At 44.9% G+C, this 19,420-nt stretch overlaps 2 annotated features.

The window, feature by feature from the left end:
* Window positions 5,132-5,727: an enhancer, noted in NCBI's record as "OCT4-NANOG-H3K27ac hESC enhancer chr14:66280853-66281448 (GRCh37/hg19 assembly coordinates)". NCBI's record gives its function as "activates a minimal SCP1, AML or CMV promoter by ChIP-STARR-seq in primed H9 embryonic stem cells {active_cell/tissue: H9 hESC(primed)}" and the evidence as "EXISTENCE:reporter gene assay evidence [ECO:0000049][PMID:30033119]".
* Window positions 5,728-6,323: an enhancer, noted in NCBI's record as "OCT4-NANOG-H3K27ac hESC enhancer chr14:66280257-66280852 (GRCh37/hg19 assembly coordinates)". NCBI's record gives its function as "activates a minimal SCP1, AML or CMV promoter by ChIP-STARR-seq in naive and primed H9 embryonic stem cells {active_cell/tissue: H9 hESC(naive and primed)}" and the evidence as "EXISTENCE:reporter gene assay evidence [ECO:0000049][PMID:30033119]".

Genomic DNA, 19,420 nt, shown 5'->3' with positions numbered 1-19,420 from the left:
TAGTGACTGGTCCAAAAGCATAATTCAATATGAATCTAAACAAATTGCTATTTTGCCAAAGCTCGAGGGGCTTAACAAGTGCAGATGGCTGTCAGCTTTGACGCATCCCAAGAGCTGCTCTGTCATCACATAATATGCACTCAAGGCATTCTGAAGAAAAGAATGCTCGTGCAATTTGAAGGTGATGCTGCTAGTGTGTGCTTATCTCTCCCAGCAAGCCCATCCAAGGAAAACAGGAGTCAACTTTAATCTAGCTGTGAAAAGAAGAGACAAATCATCACCCCAAATCCTTACGTGTTTTGAGGCAATAGTTTTGACCTGCTGTTCCTCAAGATCCTTTTGCCAGAACTACAACCAAAAAGTGATGGGTTTTTTATGAGCCTTTTTTTAAACTCTCCCCAAATTGTAACTTTGTTCTTTCCCTGCATTTACTTCCTCGAACCTCCCCAGTGGAATGGCGAAATTGCATCCCTTTTTCTCTAAGTGAAATCAACATGGCCTTTAAGATGTTCAAAGCATAGCAGAGATTCTCCTTTCTCACTAGGTCAGCTGGGAGGATGAGAAAGGGTCCTAAAGAGTGTGTGTGTGTGTGTGTGTGTGTGTGTGTGTGTGATGTGTATATGTTTGTGTTTGTCTGGTGTCACGTTGTATGTTTGTGTGAGGTCTGTGATATATGTATAATATATGTGTGTATGATATGTGCATGTGTGTATATTTTGGCAGTGCGTATGTGTGGTATGTGTGTGGTGTATGTACATGTGTGCAGTGTGTATGTATGTGGTGTGTCTATGTTTGTGTTTATGTGGTGTAATGTGTGTGTGTGCATGGTGTGTGGTATGTGTGATGTGTGTCTGTATGTAGTGTGTGTATTTATATGTAGTATACGTGTGTGGTATGAGTGCAGTATTTATGTGCGTGGTGTGTTTATGTTTGTGTTTACTGTGGCATTGCGTATGTGTGTGGCATGTGTGTACATGTGTGTTTGTGTGTATGTGTGTGGTATGTGGGTGTGTGGATGTGTGTGGTGTGTGTGCATGTATGTGTGTGGTATGTGTATGTGTTTGTGTGTGTGTGGTGTGTATGTGGTGTGCATAGTATATGTGTATCATGCATGTGTGTGTTGTGTGTGTATGGTGTGTGCATGTGGTCTGTGTGGTGTAGTGTTGTGTTTGTGTGTAAGGTGTGTATGGTGTGTGGGGTGTGTGTGTGTATGGTATGTATTTATGGTATGTGTGTATCATGTGTGGTGTGTACGGTGTGTGTGGTGTGTGTGTGTGGTACGTATGCAGTATGTGTATGTGTCTGTATGGTATAGTGTTGTGTTTGTGTGTGGGGAGGGTGGGGGGTATGTGTGTATGGTATGTGTGTATAGTGTGTGTGGTATGTGTATGGTGTGTGTGATGTGTATGGTGTGTGTGGTGTGTGTGCAGTGTGTATGTGTATGTGTTTGTATGGTATTGTGTTTGTGTGTGAGATTGTGTGGTGTGGGGGTTATGTGTGTATAGTGTGTGTGTGGTGTGTGTTCAGTGTGTATGTGTATGTGCTTGTATGGTATAGTATGTTTGTGTGTGAGGTGTGGGTGTGTGTGGCGTGTGTGTGTGGTATGTATGTATAGTGCATGTGTGTGGTGTGTATGGTGTGTGTGTGGTGTGTGCAGTGTGTGTGTGTGTGGTATAGTGTATTTGTGTGTGAGGGTGTGAGGTGTGAGGTGTGTATGGTGTGTGCAGTGTGTACGGTATGTTTATGGAATGTGTGTGGTGTGTGTGCAGTGTTTATGTGTATGTGTTTGTATAGTATAGTGTGTCTGTGTGTGGGGGGTGTGTGTGTGGTGTGTGGGGTATGTGTGTGTGGTATGCTGTGTATACTCTGTGTGTGGTGTGTGTATGGTGTGTATTTGTGTGCAGTGCGTATGTGTGTGGCACAGTGTTGTGTTTGTGTTAGGTGTGTGTGGTGTGTGTGGTGTGTATGGTGTGTGTATGGAATGTGTAGTGTGTGTACAGTGTGTATGTGTTTGTATGGTATAGTGTTTGTGTGTGTGTGTATGGTGTGTGTATGGAATGTGTAGTGTGTGTGCAGTGTGTACGTGTTTGTATGGTATAGTTTTGTGTTTGTGTCTGTGTCTGGTGTGTGTATGGAATGTGTGGTGTGTGTGCAGTGTGTATGTTTTTGTATGGTATAGTGTGTATGTGCGTGTGTGAGGTGTGTGTGTGTGTATGGTGTGTGTATGGAATGTGTAGTGTGTGTGCAGTGTGTATGTGTTTGTATGGTATAGTGTGTTTCTGTGTGTGTGTATGGTGTGTGTATGGAATGTGTAGTGTGTGTGCAGCGTGTATGTGTTTGTATGGTATAGTGTTGTGTTTGTGTGTGAGGTGTGTGAGGTGTGGTGTGTGTATGTATGCGTTGGGCAGGGCAGTGAGCAAGGAATGGAGGGTGCCCCAAGTCAGGCCCTGACCTAGCTTTGGTAAGAGCAGTGCCTGCTCTTTGAGTAATTTTTTCACATTATCTCTAAACTGCACTGCAACCCCACAAGGGTTATTCCCAAATGAGGAAACTGAATCTTAAAACAGGTTTAGGTTAGGCAACTTGTCTGAGGTCACATAGCCAGTAAGTGGAGGAACTGGGATTCAAATGGGCCTGGAAAATGCCACAGGCATGCATTCTTTCCATCCCATCAGGTAGTCTGCCATATAACAGTTTAGGGAAAACAAACATCGATAGATACCATCAGTATTTCTTTGCTTTTCATGGCACCTTTCCCCCAAAGTTCTCTATACCCATTAAATGTGTCCCAGGATCAGGATTTACCTGTCTGGGTGGATTTAAGAAGAGGGAAATAGAGCTGGGTCTTACAATCCTGGTTATTCTGGGAACTAATTAACAATTCTCTACTCTGGACCTTAAGAGTGAGAAACAGAGAACAAAAGAGAAAGAGAAGAAACAACTCAAAATGGCCATCTTCAAGGAATTTGTTGGAGGAGGAATTGGGCACAAAGCCATTATGTTTGGTCTTTATTCATTTGTAAAACAGTGATCATGAAACACTGGTCCAAAAGAATATAGAATGGAGAATTTATGGGAAAGGACATAAGGGTAAGAGGTTTGAGGGTTTGAACTGAAATGAAAGGATTAGAAACAGAATGGCTGCAAGGTGGGAACGCCTGCCAGGTGTTCAATGGATTCAGTAGGCCACTTGGCCCCGCATCTCCCACAGGTGAAAAGCTGAGACTATTCTGGTTCTATAACTTACCCAAATTCAAGGGCCAACATTCCGTCCAGAACGGAACTTTGGAAGACATGCAGTTAGTGAAGGGTATCGACTGAGTGGCTCTACTCCTGTCCAGCTCTGTCACGGGCTGTCATTTGGCCCCCAGAGACCCTGGAACTATCTGGGCTGTGGGGATGCAGACCCCGGGGACAAGCACGGCAGCACATTTGAACAGACATTGGAAGGACTTACAATCTCTAGGAAATACAGGACAAACAGGCAATAGACACAGCTTAGGATTCTAAGAGGCATGAGACCTCATAATCTGTTACTATTGAATGAATAAAACACATGTTAAAGTACTGAACATGTTTTTGAGTTTAACAGAAATGCTAAGTAGGGTTATCTCCCCCAAGGAAATCCATGGTAGATTGGTTCAATTCATTTACTCATCCAACAAATATTTACTGAATGCCTGCTGTGGTAAGTATGATATCAAGACTGGAGGTACAATTGTGAACAAGGTCTGGTCTTTGGTCTCTATGCAACTGATATGTTAATTGCAAGAGACAGAAAACAAGTAAGCCAATAAATAAGATAACCCTAGGCTGCAATAAGTGCTATAAAGTAGAAAAAGCAGTGACGTGCAGGTGAGCAACCAGAGGTGGGAGGAGGCAAGCTCCATCTGATGGGGTCTGCAGTCAGTTGGGGTTGGGTTCAAACCCAGCTCCAACACCCGCTAGCCACATGGCCTTGGGCAAGTTACCCTGGTGTCTTGGTTTCCTCATCTCTAAAATGGCTAATAATATCTGCTTTGTGGAGTATTATTCAATGTCTTTCTGCTTAAACCGGAGTGGATTCTGTTGTTTGTGACCAAGAACTCCAACCAAACTCTCACTCTTTGAGGTCTTTATATTTGCCAGTGTCTCCCACACGAATCTCTAACAAGTACTCCACAAGACCTGTAAAGCAGACATATGACATAAAACAAATTTGGAACATGAAGAATGAGGTGCCGTGTGGGTTCTAGTCTGGAGGAGGGGTAGAGAGACATCTGCTGTATCTCCTCTTATCTCTAAGACATACTTAGAGATTGTGTGGGAAACGCTGGCAAATATAAAGACCTCAATAAAGGAGAGTTTGGATGGGGTTCTTGGTCACAAACAGAATGCCCTCCAGTTTAAGCAGAAAGGCATTGAATAAAGGACAGCTCAGAGAATATCTAAGAGGGTCAGGGAAGAAGGCTTGCTTCTGGAATGGCGCAGTTGCACTCTAGACTGCTCCAGGGAACACACCATCACAGCAGCTATCATAGCTGAGCATGGCTCCAGGATGCCACCTTCAGGAGCTCCACCACTGTGGCCTCCGAAAGTAGATGTCTCTCTATCCCTTCTCCAAACTAGACCCGTACAATACAGCACCTCATTCTTCAGGTTCCACATTTGTTTTATGTGGGTATGTCTGCTTGCAGGTCATAAGCTCTGCTTAAAATCCTGTTCCTTGGGCGGCTGGTGAAGTGAGTTTCTGATTTCTACCTAGGGAGGCAGGACACATGATATGGGAAATTCTTCCAGCATAAGAGGGGTGGTCAGCATCACTGGGTGCTATGCACCTCAAGCATCCATGGTACAGAGCAAAAAACCACATGGCTGTTCAATACAACCTATACCCAGTGTTCCTCCTTCTCCCTTCCTAGGAAACAAATCAGCACACAGAAACATCTTTGCAGACTGTGGCAGCTCTTCTTCTAAATTCATTAAAGAAAGTAGGGGAAAGAAATGGGGAAAACAACAATGATATGCCATTTTACACCATCAAATCAGCAAAATGTAAAATTCTAACAGTGCTGTGCAGTGATGAGCATGCGAAGAAATGAAAACTCGTATGTGGCTAAGAGGAGTGTGGATTGATGTGGGCATTTTGGCATGCAATTCAGAAATAATCAATGAAATTGAAGATGTTTGTGCTCTATGACCCAGAAATCCCACTTCTAGAGATATTCTCAAATGTGTGTACAGAGACACATAGAAGCATGTTCATTGCAGCACCATTTGTAATACTGGAAAATTGGAAATAACCAGAATGCACATCAACCAGAAAATGGATAAATAAAATGTGGCTTATCAAATAATAAAACATGATTCCACAGTTAATAAATGAACTAGAACTAGACACAGAAGCATGGAAATGTCTAAGACATAAAAGTTGAGTAAAAAACAAGTTACAGAAGGAAAAAGAGTAAATCACAGTCTGATACCAATTGTAAACCAAAAATAAAATTCTAGGCCTCCCAACCAATTGGATGAACCCCTCCTCTCTGTCAAGGGCATTCATTCCTAAGTTGATCTGAAAAGCTAGTTCAGGCCATGATGGGAAGTGGGGGTCAGACATGCCTCATTACACCCTCCTCCCTTTGGAATTCGGGCACAGCTGACCAGCATTTAACATTAAAACAGAGGCCTTAAGACTGACAAAGCAGACTGTTTGTAGCAATAAGGTACCAACATGACAGACAGCAGACACTAAAAGGAAATGGCCCTGCAAAGCTGTCTCTTATGAGGAAAATGTAGATATTCCCTTTCCTTTCCAGATCTTTTTCCTGATCCAGGAGAGAATTAACTAAGAGTCTGGCGCCTTTTTAAGTCTGATGAGAAACATTTACTATCTATTCTCTCTGAAGCCTGCCACCTGGAGGCTTCATCTGCATAATAAAAACCTTGGTCTCCACAACCCCTTATCTTAACCCAGATACTCCTTTCTATTGATTCTAGGTCTTTAGATAAACTCTTTCAACCAACTGCCAGTCAAGAACTCTTTGAATCCACCTATAATCTGGAAGCCCTCCTCTCTCCCCACCACTTCACGTTATCCTGCCTTTCCAGACAGAACCAGTGTAGAGCACATGTATTAATTGATGTCTTATTAAAATGATAAAACCAAGATGTAGCCTGACCACCTTGGGCATATGTTTTCAGGACTTCCTGAGGCTGCATCACAGGCACGTCCTTAATCTTAGCAAAACAAACTTCTAAATTGATTGAGACCTGTCGCAGATACTTTTTTATTTACACAAATAAAAGTTAAAAATGAAAAACACTGCAATCACATGTCCACAGGTACATTTACTTGGAGTAATAATGTAAGTCATGCATGGGGCTGATGTAGACCTAAGTGCCGTGGTGCACCTCTCTGGGAGACAGGAAATAAGGAAGACTTCAACTCTATATGAATATGATGTCTATGTATACTGTGCTTATTTGGGTGATTAAAAATTTTATGACTTTTTTAAAACTAAAGAAAAGAGTGGGACTTAGAACCACTCAACCCTGGGTAGAAACTCTGACTCTTCTACTTACTAGAAAAAAAATGTTAAACCTTCGCGGCCAGGTACAGTGGCTCACGCCTGTAATCCCAGCACTTTGGGAGGCCAAGGTGGGCGAATCACTTGAGGTCAGGAATTTGAGGCCAGCCTGGCCAACATGGAGAAACCCTGTCTCTACTAAAAATACAACAATTAGCTGGGCGTGGTGGCGGGCACCTGTAATCCCAGCTACTCAGGAGGCTGAGGCAGGAGAATTGCTTGAAACCGGGAGGCAGAGGTTGTGGTGAGCCGAGATTGCACCATCACACTCCAGCCTAGGCAACAAAAGTGAAACTCTGCCTCAAAAAAAGAAAAAAAATTAAATCTCTCTGAGCCTCAATGCCTTCATCTGGAAAATGGGGCTAATAATACCTATTAGTTTAAACCACATGAAATTGCCTGTTTTGCAGGACAAATGCATTTGCACATCAGCAACTTCATGGTTCAGCCTAACTTTGTTCAGCAGAGCTGTGCTGAGAGCTCATGTAAAGAACCACTCTTCTGGCACTCAGTGGATAGCTGCCCTTATTAAAAGGAGAGGCTGGCACGGTGGCTCACGCCTGTAATTCCAGCACTTTGGGAGGCTGAGGCAGTGGAATGCTTGAGCCCAGGAATTCAAGACAAGTCTGGGCAACATGACAAAACCCCGTCTCTACAAAAAAATACAAAAAAATTAGCCAGGCGTGGTGGCACATGACTGTAGTCCAATAACCGGGAGGCTGAGGCGGGAGGATTGTTTCAGCCTGGGAGGTCAAGGCTGCAGTGAGCCACGATCCCATCACTGCATTCCAGCTTGAGCAACATAGTGAGACTCTGTCTCAAAAAAAAAAAAAAAAAAAAAACAGGCTGGGCACAGTGGCTCACACCTGTAATCCCAGCACTTTGGGAGGCTGAGGTGGGTGGATCACCTGAGGTCAGAATTCGAGACCAGCCTGACCAATATGGTGAAACCCTGTCTCTACTAAAAATACAAAAATTAGCTGGGCACGGTGGAGGATGCCTGTAGTCCCAGCTACTTGGGAGGCTGAGACAGAATTGCTTGAACCCAGGAGGTGGAGGTTGCAGTGATCATGCCACTACACTCCAGCCTGGGTGACACAGCAAGACTCCATCTAAACAAAAAAAAAAGAAAGAAAAGGAGATATGTTTCATTGGAAGGTTGAGTGTTTCCCTGCCCGGAAGCAAAGGAGGAGCTGGATGACCTCTTGGGGGCTCCTCTTTCTAGGCAACCACGGTCTTATCAGGTGAGCCCAGAGTCACCCAAACCACTGGAAGAGGGGACTCTGGGATGAGGGAAAGATGCTTGCCCATATCAATTCTTACAGCACAGCATTTCCAGTGTTATTTCAAAACAAGAGTATGGATTGGGGGAGACCTTTCAAAGACAGATGAGGCTTTCTCTGTCTCGTGTCTGATGGGGAGGCCTGCAGAGTCACATCTGTTTGGCTCAAGTGCAGGACAGCACCAGCCAGAGACCAGACTGTGAGGTCAAAGCCAATCAATATGGCCAACCTGGAAAAGGTGCTCCGAATAAGCTCTACATGAATCTTAAGCTGAACAGACTGGCACATTCTCCCTAGAATCAGCCTTCAAAACATTGAATGCACATCTTCCTTATACTCGAGATGGAACAAATTGCCTAGTAAATGTTTGCAGTGAATGCCAGAAATGGCAGCACATGGCTGTCTGGTTTTTTGGGGAAGGAGGGGATGGCGAGGGAAGTAAAGAGCTGAAGACAATTAATGACCAAACCCTAGAGGAAAAGACACTCTAGCCAATTTGTGCTGATTTTCTTGTCTGAAAATGGGGAAAACCCATAGATTATTCAAGCTTAATTGATGCTTTTGCAGCAAAGGAAATGAAAGGTGCTTAATTCATATATATACTCTCCGAGGTCCATTACCAAGCTGTCACCTCCATCAGCCAAGCCAGTAGGCTTTCTTCTAGCTCTCCTGTCTATGCACATACAGCTGTGCACCCAGCAGTACATCAATCCCTGGCAACTGGCCAGTCGGGTTGTTTAAGAGAAGAAAATAGAATGGAGAAAGAGCTGAAAAAAATCTGGACAGAGAAGCAACACCTTTGGTCTTTGCAGTTTAACAATTTAATTTGTTCTCTTCAAGTTGCAATTTTTCTGGTCTTATCCCTGAAATAGTATTAAAGGACTTATCCAAAGTCACATCAACTTCACTGGCCAAACTTGAAATTCCTGGGCAAGTACTTAACCTCTCTAAGTCCCAGTGTGTTCATCCATACGACAGGGACATTTGTAAATTAGGAACAACATTTTCCCCCACAGAGTTGTGGTGGAAGATACATGAGTGACACAGACTGGATGTTCCATAAATGTTATCTGCCCCCACTGGCATTTATCAGAACAGGTGGTTTTCATGTATAGAACCCTACAGTACATAACAGGTTCAGGAAGAGGAAGAGAGTAAAAGAAAATGTGTAGCATGTAATAGATTTTAACTACCTAATTTTTCCTACTTTGACCAAGTGAACATAAATGTAATACCCTTGCATACTCAGAAGCCTAAGAGTGTACCCAGTTAAACCAGCACACGAATGAACAAGATTTTATACAAATGAGTTAGCCCTTCAAATCACATGTTAACTAACCAAGAGGAAAGCATGAAAGAAGTACATAGCAAAGCCCTGGTGAGACCATATTTTCCAGTAAGTGAATGCCTTTTAATTCCAGCTGTTGTTAAAAGCAGGCTGAAAAAAGAGGGGGAAAAGAAAACAATGAGAGGGGCAGGATGTTTGCACAATGAGAAGGAGTTGTCCAGACAGCACTCAGCTGTGAACAGTCCTTTTCCTCCGGAAGCCCTTTCCCCAGCAAAGGCTGCTTAGGATGCATTTGCATTCAAGGAGAGTTGCCCCTCCAGCATCTCCCAAATTGCCTAGATGGGCATTCATAGGAAATGCAAATTTAAAATAAAAGCTGAGAAAATCAGTTGAGTTCTACAATGGGCATGTATTTCTTTTGTAATCAGAAGACAATAGCTCTCATAAAAAAGAAATAAAGGGAGCCAAATTGATTAAGCCTATACAATTGAGGCAGAAAGTCTGTGTACATTAAAGCCTAATCTTTGTAAACAGTTGCAGACAGAGAGATTGAGAGTACACAACAATCTGTCTACAAACTTTGAGGTAAGGGAGCAACCAATATAGTGTTCAGCAGCAGGATCCAGCAAGGGACATGGGTCATTAGGGTTCATCAGCAAAAAACAGCTAAAGAGAAGGCAAAGAAAGGAAAGGTTTGGACCCAGAATGAAACCACCTTAGCACTGCTCATACCTGTAGAGGACAGAGGAGATTGGTAGTTATCAACAGAATTGCTTTACTGGAACAATTATAAAGCAAAATATCCCTTAGGTCTTACCATACGCAAAGTTGTTTTAATAGTTGCTCTAGATAATGTCCCCCACCTACCAAGGTGCAGGATTTCAGTCCTGCTTTCTTATGTCTCCTTAAGAAGCTCCAAAGGCTGAGTGTGGTAGCTCATGCCTGTAATCTCAACACTTTTGGAGATTGAGGCAGGAAGATCACTTGAAATCAGGAGTTTGAAACCAGCTTGGGCAACATAGCAAGACTTTGTCTCTCCAAAAATTTAAAAGTTATCTGGGTGTCATGGCATGCACCTATGATCCCAGCTATTTGGGAAGCTGAGGTGAGAGGATCGCTTGAGCTCAGGAGGTTGAGGCTGCATTAAGCCAAGACCACACCACTACACTCCAGCCTGGGTGATAGAGAACCTGTGTCTTAAAAAAAATCTCCAAAGGAAGGGAGAGTGATTTCCATTTACAGAGTCTCTGTCCCCACTCCAATCTCTGTCTACAACTCTACTCCACTGTCTGCTGTTACTCTGCTGGCCCTAGTTGGTCGACCATGCCAGGTGCACCTCATTCTCCCAGGCTACTGATCCGGATGCTTTTCTTGGCTGTTGCTTCTGCCAATTGTCTCCAGGCAGCTAGTCTCTGCTGTGCTACGTGCTACCGCAGACAAACTGCCACAGTTCAAAACCATGGATGCTCCTGACACCATGCCCAGTCCACCCACCCCAAGGCCCTAATCTTCTGTGACCTCCAAACTGCTCAGGGTCTGTGCCACCTGACACTGGTCCTCAGCTTTCCCTCCATAGCTGCACTGCTTGCCTGTTTTTTTCACCATGTGTTCCCAGTGCTTGGTAAGTAATTGTTGACTGAATTAGTCAATGAACATGAAAGTGATAGTGGCAAGAGGCAGACAAATGTCTAGGCAGATGGGGCAAGTACCTGGTAAAACCCCACCTCCAAGCCAAAGACAGTTTAAAGCCTGAAAGCCAAGCTACAAGTCAAATCCATGGACCAGATTAAGAACCTGTCTTCCCATTTGGCATGCTTTCCTCTGATTGATCCCCACCCTTCAACTATTTTACATATACCTACCCTTTCCTAATTGGTTTTCTATACTGCCATACTCACATTGAGTGGTGCATTTGCTTTAGCGTTTCTCTGCATACTTACAAACCAATCAGCATGCACTCCCCTATTCTGAGCCCATAAAAGCCCCGGACTCAGCCACACTGAGACAGAAATCACCTGACTGTGGGGGTGGGGGACCCCCTCAGTTCTCAGCATGCCCTGGAACAGCTCTCAGCATGCCCTCTCTGCTGAGAGCTGTTCCATCACTCAATAAAATTATTCCCCATCCTCCTCACCCTTCAATTATCAGCATATTCTCATTCTTCTTGGACATGGGACAAGAGGTCAGGAACCACTGCACATGAGTACAATCTATAACACAGGTGGGCTGGGGCACACCTGGCCCAGCCACAGGCTAAGCCAGTGCACAAGCTAGACTAAGCATGGGTGGGCTGAGTGAACAGGGTGCCTCCTGTGTCAGGCGGTGTGCCTAAGCAAGGCCTGGGGTGGGTCGTCATCGGCTAGAGGTTCTCAGCTGGCAAAGTGATTGAGAAAAATCCTACGTCAAAAGGAGGAGGAAGAGATATTTCAGACAGTTCTTGAAGGACAAGGAAGTGAAACATATTAAATACTCACATAGCTACACATTGATACCAGGTTTTTCTTCAAGGGAAAAGGCCCAGAGGCTGTATTTACCACTCTGGTCAATTTTCCCACAATCCAGAATCTGCCCCTCAATCTTCTAAACCAGAAACCCAGTTTTCACATTCTCTGAAGAATCAGGCTCACAGTAACCAAATAATAAACTCAGAAAACCCACTTACTTCCTCACACATACACACGGTAAACAAAAACACCTGTTATTTGGATGAGAAGAGCCTATGAACATAAGTGATCAGTAAACTCACTCCCTCTGGAAAGACCCACTTGGAAATTCAACAATAATCAGAAGGCAGCTTGATAATAATGAAATGAAACCAAGGAAAGTGAGAGGAAGCAAATATGTAATTGCCATTAGGCTTAGATGGTCTGATGTACGAGTGGTCATTAGAATTCTTATGGTTGCAAATGACAAAAAACCCAACCCAACTGGCTTAGGCAAAAAAGCGTTCATACAATTGAGAAAAACAGAAGCAGAGCTGATCCCAGGCATGACTTAATATAAGAACCCAAAGGGATCTAGTTCCTCTCTTTATATCTCTTGTCCTGGTTCCTCTTGGTTAGCCCTACCCCACACAAGTTCTCTCCACCATGACAGCAATGTGGCTGCAGTTGCTCCAGCATCACACTCTAAACTCCAAAACTACGTTAGGACATAGTTCCTTTTCTAGTAGATCTGCAAAAGTCCTAAGATTCACACATTATAGTCAGGGGAATGAAAAGTGTTTACTAGCCTAGGCTTATCCCATGCTCCAGCCCTTGAATTGGGGGTGGGACCATGCCTAAAGTATGTGGCCTTAGAATGAGGGAGGGTGAATCACAACATTAATCAAAGACTATTAATAAAAATAGGATGAACAGATACTATGAAGAAAACTTAACATCTTTCACAGCCTACAATTTATGATGATATGCTCTTGTGAAGACAGTGGGAAAACTTAGTTTGCTGTGCACACTCCTGCACCCAGTCTCCACATTATGCATGCCCTCATCAGTAAGCCTGTGGTCAAGACTCTCCCTTTCCTGGTTAGTGCGTGGACGTGCACTTCTTTTCCTGGGGCTCCACTGCTCACCAACTGCAGCTAACATAACACATTTAGTCTATCACAGCTGAGGCCTCCTGGTTGGAAGCTCTTTATTCTCTCTCCTACAGATGCCTTCACATGCCTGTGCTCTTATCCAAGGCAACTCAGATCCTTTGTGGAAGAAACAAATCTGTGCCCCATAGAAAGTTGGGGGTATAGTCTAACAAAACTCCTACAGACACATTTACTTTAAAGCCTTAAGCGCCACCTTAATATTTAATATAGATTTTTTCATTCTATGCTGCAGTATTTTTCCTACCTGCCAGGACAAATGGGATCCCCAGGACTATATGTCATGCTCCACACACTGAGCCCTGATTCACCCAAGTCATCAGTCCACATATAGACTTGGATGGAATGCGATCCCATAAAGTATGGAATCTGGCTCCCTGAGTGGCCGCTAAGGGACTAGCTGATGAACCTGGAAGCACAGAGAAGTCAACTTGGTGTGGGGCAAATAACCGGGGACAGAGAGAAGGGAAGGAGTTGGGCAGGTGAGTTTCCTCGTTCTCCTTCCCAGGGGCTGTCCTGCAATGTGGTTTCCCCTTGCTACCCTTGCCTGCCAGGTGACCTGTTGTGTCTCCATGGCTTGCAATGGAGTGGGGCCAATGCTGCTGAGTAGTGCCTCATATCACTTCCAATCTTCCCTTTTCTCACCACCATTTTTTCCCCTCACCTTCATCCCCTGGCTTCTACCTCTCCCATAAAGCAGCAGCACATTAATCTTGGCTTCTGGCTCTGGTTTCTAGAGGAGCCCAGGCAAAAACATGATCTGTTCTTGCATAACTCTCAAGAGAACAATCTTATTTCCAACTTTATAAGACATCTCAATATAGCAAGATCTGGCAACAAGCAGGGTAGAAAGGAAGGAAGTCCCAAGCCTAGAGATTAGCACGGCCAGAGGCACATAGCTGCCAGAGTCCATGAGGGAGCAGGATGATGAGGGGAAGTAGCAAGAAAGATGTCCCAAACACAGGAGGGGCTTATGGGCCAGGCCCTCTGGGAAGATGTTTACTATCCCTGCCTCCATCCCAGATTCTGAATACCGAACTAGGAGACTCCCTCCCCCCATCCTCAGTAAGTATTACTAAAGTAACGAGTCATTGTTACTGATCCCTCAGTTGTCACTGGGCAAGGAAAAGGCTGAGAGACACTGGCACAGGTGGGAAATGCAGGTCAAAGTGTGACAGGCACACTAACGGGCTTAGTCTTTCTCCTATAAACCATGGAGGGCATAAAGAGGTTTCTGAGCAATGGAAAGATAGAAACGATGATGGTTAATTTTGAGGGTCAACTTGATTGGATTGAAGGAAGCAAAGTCTTGATCTTGGGTGTGTCTGTGAGGGTGTTGCCAAAGGAGATTAATATTTGAGTCAATGGACTGGGAGAGGCAGACCCACTCTCAATCTGGGTGGGCACCATCTAATCAGCTGCCAGAGTGGCCAGAATAAAAGCAGGCAGAGGAACATGGAAGGAGTAGACTGGCTGAGTCTTCTGGCCTCCATCTTTCTCCCATGCCAAATGCTTCCTGCCCTTGAACCTCAGACTCCACATTCTTCAGCGTTTAGACTCTTGGACTTACATCAGTGATTTGCCAGGGGCTCTTGGGACTTCAGCCACAGGCTGAAGGCTGCACTGTGGATTTCTCTGATTTTGAAGTTTTGGGACTCGGACTGGCTTCTTTGCTCCTCAGCTTGCAGATGGCCTATTGTGGGACTTCACCTTGTGATCATGTGAATCAATACTACTTAATAAACTTCCCTTCATATATTCATCTATCCTATTCGTGCTGTCCCTTTAGAGAACTCTGACTAATACAGAAACAGAGCTGATTTTTAACAATACAATCCTGGTGACAATGTCGAAGATGAATAGTAAGGAAATGAGTTTGGGGGCTTTTTTTTCTAACCTGATGACTGGTGAGATGAGAAGGAAGTTGTTTCAAAAATGATCTCCAGTTGAGTGATGATGCTATAAAACAAGTCAGGAAATAAAGGAGGAAAAATTGTTTTACCAAAATGTGGAATAAACAATGAGTTTGGTCTGAGATGCTCTGGGCGTGAGGTCATATGGGACATTAAAATGAACCTATCTTAGCAGGCAACTGGAAATACAGACGTGGAGCTCAGGAGAGAAGTGGGGACTGGAGATAGAAAGTCACGTAGCATCAGCATGATGTGAGGGTGGAAGCCAAGGCAGTGGGTGGCATTGCCTGTGGAGAGAAAGGACTGTGGTGGAGCTCTGAGTGCAGCCAACCCAGCTGAGCGATGGCGAAGGAAATGGGACCAGGAGGTGGAATCAGAACAATCTGTCAAAAGGCAGAGGAGAGGCAGTCTCAAAGACTTCAAGAAAGCACCCAAAAGAGACGCAAATCAAGCTTAGATGTTGGATAATTTGAGGTTTCCTGAGCCAGTGCAAAGCACTACCCAGTACTTACGGCAATCTAACAAACAAGGATTTACTGCCTGCTCAGCACAGAACCCGCGACACTAAATTACCCCATTCATCATGGAGTTCTGGGCTGGCAGGACTACTTGGCATCACCTTCAGTCCTCAGCAATGCAGCTGCCGGACCACACAGGGGCCCCCTTAGCCTGGACGGGAGCCGAGCGAGCCACCTATGGGAGGCAGATTCCTGAGGTTCCTCACTGGTGGCCTCACACCCTTTGTTACCTGCTCCCCGTTTGCCTTCAGAGGCCCAGAAAGGAGGAGGGGATGGTCAGGGTGGGCTGCTGCCTGCAAACTCACAGAGTTTGCTAAGGGGCTTGAGCTGTTTCTGTAAAGATGTCTGTCCGCTTGTGAATTGCTGGACTGAAGAGGTGGACAAAAGCTGTTTTAATTCTTAGGTCCTCTCCAGAGGTGACAGTTACCAGAGTGTTTACAATGGAGACTTTTGCTGGCAACTTCAAATTTTCCCTACGACTGAGCTTTGTAACTTAGCAGAACCACTGGAGAAAGAGGAGGAACAAACTTGGATTCTCTAGGCTGTGAGCCTGGCACCATATTGAACACTCCACGCACATCGCCTCATTTAACCTTGAAAATGCCCCTGAGTAGTAGGTGTTGTTATCGATTATCTCCATCTTACAGACGAGAAAACAGGGCTCAAAGAATTAGTAAGCGGGGAAGCTGCATCAGACATTTTCAGTTTTCAGTAACAACTTCAGAGTTTCAAAATTCTTCCACATAGAATATTTCTTTTTGATTCAGAGACTCACACTGACTGTGAGAATTAACCCCATTATAGAAATATGAAAACTGAGAACCTGAAAGTTTAAGTGGCTTGTCCAAGATCCAAAGCTTGGGCCATCCAGACTTTGAGCTCAGTGTGCTTTCCACGATGCCTGCTGCTTCCTGCCCATTCCAGGAGAAAGTCTGGATGATACAAATAGGTGATTTTTTCCTATCGTTGGTAAAGACTTTCCTAAACCAGAGGCCTCTTTCTTGAAGGACTTATTAGGAGATCTCAAAATCTGCCAAGTTCCCGAGTGAATCCTGCAAAGTAGAGTTACAAGACGGCATCAGTGTAGGGGGAGATGGCCTCTCTGTGTTTAACAAAGCCCCGATGGTCACATTCTGGAGGTGCCTAGGAAGTATGGCCTTCCCGAGAAGTATGCCGCCTCCCTTCTTCATCTGCCACCCTGGGCCTCTGCTTCTGTAGGAACCAGCAAGGCTGCAGTCTTGGCCACTCACTGTGTGTTCTTAAACCTCAGACTCCATGAACTTGGCTTCCACTAATGTCTCTGTTCTAGCCCCCACAGGCTACTCTGTGCCACTCATTCACCAACTCACCTTGAAACAACCCCCTAATCGCATGTGTTTGCACTGTGTTCTCATTTAACTTACCCCTATTAAATGCTTCAGGCGCAGATGGCCGCCTCCCCAACGCAAATGCAAGGGGCCTTGTCTTGCTCCTCCTTGCACCTCTCCTCAGTTCAAACTTAGATTTGTTTTTTATTCTAGCCAGAAGTCAGATTAATTTTTTTATGACAATAACCTATTTCTTAGCAAAAGTATCTTTTTTGCTGTCGAATGAGTTTCAGTAACTTGTAAGGGGAGATAGTGGCAATTTCCTTTACAATTCCCTTTGCCATGGAGTCCTCCTTTCCAAGCAGGCTGTCATGACATTGTTCCCCAAGGAAGATGCCCTGACCAGTCATAAGTCCTGGATTGCCTCGCTCCCTTCGCTAAGCACTGGCCAGTGGAGAATATCAGGCTATTAAGTACCTTAGCACAATCTTTACTTTACCATTTGGAATAATGGTAATAATAACAAGTACAGTATTTTTATCATAATTTCTCATTTGATTTTAGACCTGGAAGGGCTGAGAGATTGAGTCTATCTCTCACTCACAGGTGAGGAAACAGATAAAGCTCAGAGCATCTAACATCCTGGACAAACCTCACAATCCTGTTCAAGGGTAGGCCAGCACCCATCTCACCAATCAGGAAACTGAGACATAGACAGTAATTTATCCCAATGGACTCAGCCAACTCCCAGCAGAGTGGGACCAGACTTTCTGTTTCCCAATTCCAGGTCTGGCACTCTTTCCCCTCAGCTGCAGGGTCTCTCCTTTGGCCAGAAAACCACTGGAAGAGGTACTAAGTAAATTGGATCATTTGTGACGCTGGACTGACCTTGGACCATACCAGCTTGGAGCACTGCTTCCAAAGGCCTCCCTGCTCCTAGGGGGTCTTTCGTCCATGATCCAAGCAGCTGTGTGTGCTCCCACTCCAACCCCCCTTCCTTCTCAGTCTGCCTTGAGTCATGAAGTGTGGAAACTCCAAATACCAAATCATCTGTTAGATACAAATTTCAGCTGAGTGCCATATAGCTCACTGCCATTAAAATTAATGTAAAGTGCACTGTCTGAAGCTCCCTATAGCAGCAGTTCCCATTTGTTTAAAGATGTTTTAGCTGTAAGTGATGTGAATCATTATGCAGCCCTGTTTGGCTGGAACAGATGAGGAGGATCAGGGACCACTCAGGAAGTGAGCCCAGCTAGGACTGCAGTGACAGCCCCCAGTCAGAAAGACAGTGAGGGCAGCCCCTGAGAAAAAGGTACAAGGTGCTTGCTATCCTTGGGGCACAAAGAGAAAGCCAAGAAGAGGGACAAAGGTGGCTGGACTTCCAGAGCAATTCCTCAGTCTCTTCTTAGGTCAGCCTGCATTGACAGCCACTTCCCAGCTGGCCATGCACAGCAGCTGGACAGACAGGCTGCCCCTGAAGCAGGTGTTTAAGGCGGGCTACCCCTTGTTATGGGGAAGGCAAGACGAATTGAAGACCCAGGTTTCAAGTTCAAGGAACTTAGATCTTGCTGGGAATTCAGGAGGTAAAACTCTGCTATCATTTGTGCCTGCCTGGCAACCTGTTCCCTTCCTTCTGGCAACAGCATCAGATTTCCCACGAGCATTCCTTCCCTCCCTCCCAGTCTGTGTTGGCACGGCCCATCTCCAAGGGCTTTACAACCCGGACTGCCCCAGGAGCACTTAGGAGTCCCTTAAGACCAGATAAACTATCTCCTTCCTCTTCTAGAATGACCCTTGAGAGTAGTTATTCACTTTCTCCTGTGACATCCCTCACCTCCATCTTTGCACTTATCACACTGAACTACGACTATGTGTTCATGTGCCGGTCTTCTCTCCCAGACCCTGGGCTTTTAAGGACTGGGGTGTCTTTTAATTATCTTCATATCAGCAGTGTATTAGTCTGTTCTTCACATGGCTGGGGAGGCATCACAATCATGGTGGAAGGTGAAGGAAGAGCAAAGTCACGTCTCACATGGTGGCAGGCAAGAGAGCTTGTGCAAGGGAACTGCCCTTTACAAAACCATCAGATCTCATGAGACTTACTCACTATCACAAGAATAGCATGGGAAAAACCCACCCCCAGATTCAATTACTGCCCAGCAGGTCCTTCCCACGACACATGGGGATTATGAGAGCTACAATTCAAGATGAGATTTGGGTGGGGACACAGTGAAACCATATCAAGCAGCTTCTAGCACAGTGCCTGGCACATGGTAGGTGCTCAGTTGATGTTGGATAGATGGATGAGTGACAAAACACACATAAACTATAAATAATATAAAAATACCATATGGGCAGACCCAGATATACAGACTTGTTGACGTTTTGTCAACCCTGAGTGCTACAAACTGTGACACGCAGAGGCTTTATTGCATTTATTAGTGAGGCAAGATAAACCCCATCTGACAGAGCCTCCTAGTCATATATCAGGCAGACAGTGCAAGATTAAACAATCAGCCCTGGCAGGCACCCGCAGCAACCTGGAGGTTATGCTGCATCTGGTGCTAAGAGGCTGGGCGAGAAAGCTTCCACCCCAGAACCAGAGTGTTCTTCAAAGCTGTGATCAGAGACGGGCGGGAGGAAGGCAGCCTGCAGAGGAGAAGGTTGTAAACTTGCCCTAAATTTTCCTGGTGTCTAGTTTAGGAAACCAAAATACTTAGTACTTGCCTGAAGCAGCTGAGGACCACCAGGCCACATGGAGTGAGGCTTCAGAACAAAATACTTTGCTATAAAAAACAGTTAGGCCGCAAGTCAGGTTCAGAGCAATACAGGGCATTTCTCCCCTTGTAAAATGCATGAACTTAATCAATAAACATCCTTCTTTCACAGCTCGGGTGCCCCAGGACAATCTTGCCTCGGTGGAAGAATTTTACATTTGAAGGTTTGTTCT

The sequence above is a fragment of the Homo sapiens genome, chromosome 14 (assembly GCF_000001405.40).
Source record: "Homo sapiens chromosome 14, GRCh38.p14 Primary Assembly".
NCBI classification, from domain to species: domain Eukaryota; kingdom Metazoa; phylum Chordata; class Mammalia; order Primates; family Hominidae; genus Homo; species Homo sapiens.
The sequence above is the reverse complement of the archived record's forward strand: the minus strand, read 5'-3'. Positions and strand labels throughout refer to the sequence as shown.